This window comes from Homo sapiens, chromosome 2 (genome assembly GCF_000001405.40).
Source record: "Homo sapiens chromosome 2, GRCh38.p14 Primary Assembly".
NCBI classification, from domain to species: domain Eukaryota; kingdom Metazoa; phylum Chordata; class Mammalia; order Primates; family Hominidae; genus Homo; species Homo sapiens.
This window is the reverse complement of record NC_000002.12, coordinates 112702388-112708897: the sequence shown is the minus strand read 5'-3', so window position 1 is coordinate 112708897 and position 6510 is coordinate 112702388. Positions and strand designations below refer to the sequence as shown.

General features: G+C 43.8%; 1 annotated feature.

Moving 5' to 3' along the window:
- Positions 346 to 525: an enhancer, noted in NCBI's record as "active region_16397". NCBI's record gives its function as "activates an Ori minimal core promoter by ATAC-STARR-seq in GM12878 lymphoblastoid cells {active_cell/tissue: GM12878}" and the evidence as "EXISTENCE:reporter gene assay evidence [ECO:0000049][PMID:35858748]".

Below are 6510 nucleotides of genomic sequence, written 5' to 3'. Positions count from 1 at the left end.
CTAGAAATAACCGCTATTTTTGCTTATTTCCTTCCTGGTCTTCTTTTTATACATATTTACTTATTTGACGACTGAGGGGAAATGTTTATTCACAAGTGTAAGTGAAAAAAATATATAAAATTATAAACGGCACAATCCTAAATTTGTTCTGCAAATTAGGACTGTTATACATATGCAGTTCTGTGTCCTGTTTGTTTCATTCAATATTAAAAACCAACATCTCCTTTATGTCATTAAATATTCAGCAACTTGATTTTTAATGGCTTCATAATGTCCATCACATAGAATAGTGTATACACTGTTGCCCTGTAATGGGGCATTTAGGTGGCTTCCAATTTTTCAAATAACTCTACCATGAACCTCCCTGTGTATTTTTAATTATTATCTTGAGCTGATTTCTAGAAGTGAAAATTATTTAGAACTCTTGTTTTGCATTGCCAAATAACTTCCTGAAAATCCCCAGCTATTGGCACTTCCACATCATATAGAAAGTACAGAAAAGTCCCTAAGTGTGGGACATCTTGGTTCCTGTAAAAACAACCTGAGGTTCCTTTTTTTTTTTTTTTTTTGAGACAGAGTTTCGCTCTCATTGCCCAGGCTGGAGTGGAATGGTGCGACCTCAGCTCACTGTAACCCCCACCTCCTAGGTTCAAGTAATTCTCCTGCCTCAGCCTCCCAAGTAGCTGCGATTACAGGCATGCACTGCCACGCCTGGCTAATTTTGTATTTTTAGCAGAGGTGGGGCTTCACCATGTTGGTCAGGCTGGTATCAAACTCCTGGCCTCAGGTGATCCACCTGCCTTGGTCTCCCAAAGTGCTGTGATTACAGCTCAGCTTCTTTATCAACGGACAGCTGATCCAGATCAAACAGAGGACACTGCGAGCAAGGAACCAGATCCTCAGAGCCGTCTGGTGCTTTGTGACTGAGCACAGCCAACACTGTCTCCTAGCAGGAGTCACCTTTCACCAGGTTAGGCTGCTGTAACCAACAACTCCAGAATTTTAGGGGATTACAGCAAGCACGGTTTATTTCTCACACACATCATTCAAAGATGTGGGTCAACTGTGGCTTTATTCCATGTCTTCTTAGTCTGAGACCCAAGCTGAAGGAACAGCCCAGCTCCTATCTCCAACCTCATGGTCACGGACAAAGACACAAAGCAGAAGTCCACAATGGTCTTTAGAGCTTTGACTTGGACTTGGCGTGTACAACTCCCACCCTCTTCCAAGCCTAAAGCCAAGGAAGCAAGGGAATACACTCCTCCCATGGGAAGGTGCTCCAGGTCCCGCGGCCTGGGGTGATACAGACAGATCCTGTTACAGAGTGGACAGAAGAGAACTGGGAACAAGGATACAATCTGCCACAGCTATGAGCAGTTGGAAACGATGCTTAGTGTTCATCGTCACTAAATCTGACGTCAGGAATCTCTGGCACCCAGAATACCACCTCATACTGGAAAATCCCATGCCCTAGAAGCCTTCTCCAATGGCTGATGAGAAGGATCACCTAGGTTTGACTTTTGTGCCAATAAAAGGAAAAAAATAAAATATACGTGTGTTGTGTGTGTTTATGAACATATATTTATAAGTAGCTCCATGTAAAATAGTGAAGGTATATGCTGTTAAATTTTTAAAAGGCAAAAGTAAAATTATATGTATGACAGGCTACCATTTATTTATTGTTTGTTTGTTTGTTTGTTTTTGTGAGACAGAGTCTCACTCTGTCGCCCAGGCTGCAGTGCAGTGACGCAATCTCAGCTCACTGTAACCTCCACGTCCCAGGTTCAAGCGATTCTACTGCCTCAGCCTCTCGAGTAGCTGGAATTACAGGCACCCGCCACCATGCACAGCTAATTTTTGTATTTTTAGTAGAAACGGGGTTTCATCATGTTGGCCAAGCTGGTCTCGAATTCCTGATCTCAAATGATCCACCCACCTCAGTCTCCCAAAGTGCTGGGATTATAGGCGTGAGCAACAGCGTCCAGCCTATCATTTATTTTTTTTATTGGGGGAGAATACATATACATTTCTGTTTATATACACATAAAACATTTCCCAAAAGATCAATAAGAAGCTGGTGACAGTGGCTATTTTAGGAACAAGAACTAAGGGACTGAAAGTGGGGAGGAAGGCTTGCTTTTCACTGTATACTCTTCTTATAACTTGGATTTTTTTTCCTTTTGTTTAGATTATCTTTTCCAAGAAATTTGTTCTCATTAAAAATTTTAAAAATTGTCCTTTCTCACGCACATCACATATCTCTCTGTCTATGCTTCCTTCATTGCTCCCACATTGGGACATGCCCTGAATTCCCATTCCTACAGCCTGAGAAAGCAGAGTTTCCAGAAAGCACTAGAAAATCCAAGAAGAACAAATACCAAGATCTACAAAGCAAAAAAAGAGCTCATGCTCCAACAGGCCAACCCGCTTCCTGTGGTTGTACAGACCACACTCCCTCACCACTGGCCTGATAAGCCCCTTTGAGTAAGGTGAGATCTGCAGATAGGGCTGAACTCTTGCGTGAGTCAGGAGTCTTTGCAGCAAAGGGGGTGGAGAGAGGGGAAGGAAAGGAAGAGACAGAAAGAGAGCAGCAACACGTGCAAAGGAAGCCAGGACTGGATGAGATGGAGGCCACTGGTGCCCCCAAGATCAGGGACTCTACAGATGGGGCTGCCTACCATACCATAGGCTGCCGAGACCTCTCCTCTGTCTTCTTCACATGCCCACTCCTGCTCCAAACCTCCCATACACCACATGCTTGCTGTGAAGAGATCCCTTTGCAGAAATCTCAAGGGCTGACATTTTTACCATCTGGAGGCGTGGAACCAGGACAGCACCCATAGGAACAGGAGCTAAAGTCAGAGATAACATGAGGGCATGGTGTCTAGGGAAATGGTGGAAATTCTGAGGAGTACTTTGGATTTCTAGAAGGCATTGAATTTGGAGTGCAAGCCAAGCTTATGTCTAAATAAGCCTAGAGCCCACAGTGGTCACTGGGTTTCACAAGCAAAGGTCATGAATATAGAATGTTCTTGCATGAGTGGTGGCGAGGTTGGTCTGCATCACTGGTCATCTGCTGTGAATTTTTTCAGGGGAAGCTCACATCCTCGGAGGCCTTCGCCTCACCCTAGAAAGATACAAAATGCCCTGGAGAAATGCTGTATTCACAGCACATTTGCACAGGACACTGTGTCAGTCACTGATCTGGAACACTTTGCTTGCTTACCTCCTTGAGCTATTGGTGCAATAACCATATGCAGATGGGCTAGCACAGGCTCCTGGGCTCCCTGAGTCAGTTCCACAGAACCCGGGATCAACAAGGAGTTACGAGAGTTCCATGGAACAAATAGAAGACATGATTAAATACATTTAGGGAAGATGGGAATAAACAAGATTTATGACTGCAGGACTTCTCAGAGTTTTGATGCTTTGATATGCATAATGAGCCCCCAAGAAGGGAATTATAATAGAGAGTGTATCTCAAACTCCTTTGACCATGGAATCTTTTAGAACAGCATCCCAGCCAGGGTTGCAAGGAACACATCTTGGAAGCCTCAAGTACTTCCAAGGTCAGCAGGCAACAATCAGGCAAGCCTATCGAAAAGAGAACTTCTGGGAATGAAAATGGGGATACTCTGGCTTGGTTTTTACATCCCAACCAGTGCCAATTTCCATCTGGAAATACTTTTGCCAGGTCTGCCACAACCTGAGACCTCCACATCATGCAGATTTGGTTTAGCCAAAGGTACCATCGAAGTCTACACCCCAAGCCATTAACTATAGAGACTACAGAGGAGTGGGATTAGGGTGACTGAGGGGAAACATTCACATCCTACTTTATACACTTCTATTTTATTCTTTTTTAAAATAACAAGCATGTATTTCTTTTTACATTTCTATGTATATAGTAGATGTGACCCTTCAGGAAGACTCAAGAGAGCACGGAGCTTGTCTTTCTTGTTCCATAGCATATCCACAGTATCTACAGGGATTGGCATGTAGTAGGTGCACACTCAACATTTATTGAATGACTCAAGCTGTGAAAAAGGGTGAAGACAGTAGATATAAGAGGGAAGAAGGCAAAGACCGAGACTGAAAAGCGTACTCAAGGACAAGGAAAAAAATGAGTTCAAACTTTTAAAAATGAGACCGGGTGCAGAGGCTGAGACCTGTAATCCCAGAACTTTGGGACGCTGAGGAGGGCGGATCACCCGCGGTCAGGAGTTCAAGACCAGCCTGGTCAACATGGCAAAACCCCATCTCTACTAAAAATACAACAACAGCAACAAAAATGAGCCAGGCGTGGTGGTGCATGCCTGTAATCCCAGCTACTCGGGAGGCCGAGGCAGGAGAATCACTTGAACCTAGGAGGCGGAGGCTGCAGTGAGTGAAGATCGCACCATTGCACACCAGCCTGGGCAACATGAGTGAAACTTCATCTCAAAAAAACAAAACAAACAAACAAAAAAACCAACTTTTAAAAATGAACTTAAAGGCTGGGAGCAGTGGCTCACACCTGTAATCCCAGCACTTCGGGAGGATGAGGCAGGTGGATCACCTGAGGTCAGCAGTTCGAGGCCAGCCTGGTCAACATGGTGAAACCCCATCTCTACTAAAACTACAAAAATTAGCTGGGCATGGTGGCACATGCCTGTAGTCCCAACTACTGGGGAGGCTGAGGCAGGAGAATCACTTGAACCCGGCAGGCAGAGGCTGCAGTGAGCTGAGATTGCACCACTGCACTCCAGCCTGGGCGACCGAGCAAGATTCCGTCTCAAAAAAATAAATAAGTAAAATGAACTTAAAAATTCCCTATAGAGTTTCAAAGTGGTTAATTAAAATGCAGTAATATTGAAAGACAATGTCAAGAGAATGAGTAGAGAAGCCAGGAATTGGTAGAAAACATTTGCAAAAGACACATCTGATAAAGTACTGTTATCCACTTTATACAAAGAACTCTTAGCCAGGCGTCATAGCTCATTCCTGTAATCCCAGCACTTTGAGAGGCTGAGGTGGGTGGATTGCTTGAGACTAGGGGTTCAATACCAACCTGGCCAACATAGTGAGACCCCATCTCTACAAAACAAAATAAAAAGTTACAGCTATTCAGGAGGCTGAGGCAGAAGGACTGCTTGAGCCCAGGAGGTTGAGTTTGCAGTGAGCCATGACTGTACCACTGGACTCTAGCCTGGGCAACAAAATGATACCCCGTCCCCTTTGCCCCCGACAAAAAAAAGACCTAAAATGCAACAACTAGAAAACAAACAACTCAATTTAAAAATAGGCAAAAGGCTGGGTGCAGTGGTTCACACCTGTAATCCCAGCACTTAGGGAGGCCAAGGTGGGAGCATCACTTTGAGGCCAGGAGTTCAAGACCAGGCCCAGCAACATAGCGAGACCCCTTCTCTACAATTAATAATAATAACCATTATTATTATCCAGGAACAGTGGCATGCACCTGTAATCCCAACTACTCAAGAGGCTGAGGCAGGAGCGTCGCTTGAGCCCAGGAGTTTAAGGTTGCAGTCAGCTACAATTGTGCCACTGCACTCCAGCCTAAGTGACGGAGCAAGATCCTGTCTCTAAAAAAGTAAAAAATAACGTTTTTTAAATGGACAAAAAACCTTAACAGGTGTCTTAACAGACACCTCACCAAACAGGATACACAGATGGTAAAGTAAGCATATGAGAAGATGTTCAACATTATATATCATTAGGAAATTGTAAATTAAAACAATAATGAGGTACCACCACATGCTTATTAGGATGTCGAAAATCCAAAACACTGACAACACCAAATAATGGTGAAAATATGGAGCAGCAAGAACTCTCATTCATTTTTGGTGGGGAATGCAAAATGGTACAGCCACTTTGGGAGACAATTTGGCAGTTTCTTGCAAAGCTAAACATATTCTTACTATATGTTTCAGCAGTCACATTACTTGATATTTGCTCAAATGAATTTAAAATTTATGTCCACAGAAAAATCCGCACAGAGAGGCCAAGCATGGTGGCTCACACCTGCAATCCCAACACTTTGGGAGGCCAAGGCTGGAGGATTGCTTGAGCCCAGGAGTTTGAAACCAGCCTGAGCAACATAGGGAAATCACATATCTAAAACAATTTTTTAAATTAACCAGGCATGGTGACATATGCCTGTAGTCCCAGCTACTTGGGACACTGAGGTGAGAGGATTGCTTGAGCCCAGCAGGTCAAGGCTGCAGTGAGCAATGACTGTGCCTCTGCATTCCAGCCTGGGCAACAGAGTGAGACCCTGTCTAAAAGAAAAAAAAACCTGCACACCGAAGTTTACAGCACATTTAGTTATAATTGCCAAAACTTAGAGGCAACTAGGATATCCTACAATAGGTGAATGGATAAATAAACTGTGGTACATCAAGACAATGGAATATTACTGCTAAAAAGAAATTAGCTATCAAGCCATGGAAAGACGGGGAGGAAACTTCAATGCATATTACTATGTGAAACAAGCCAGCCGAAAAAGATACA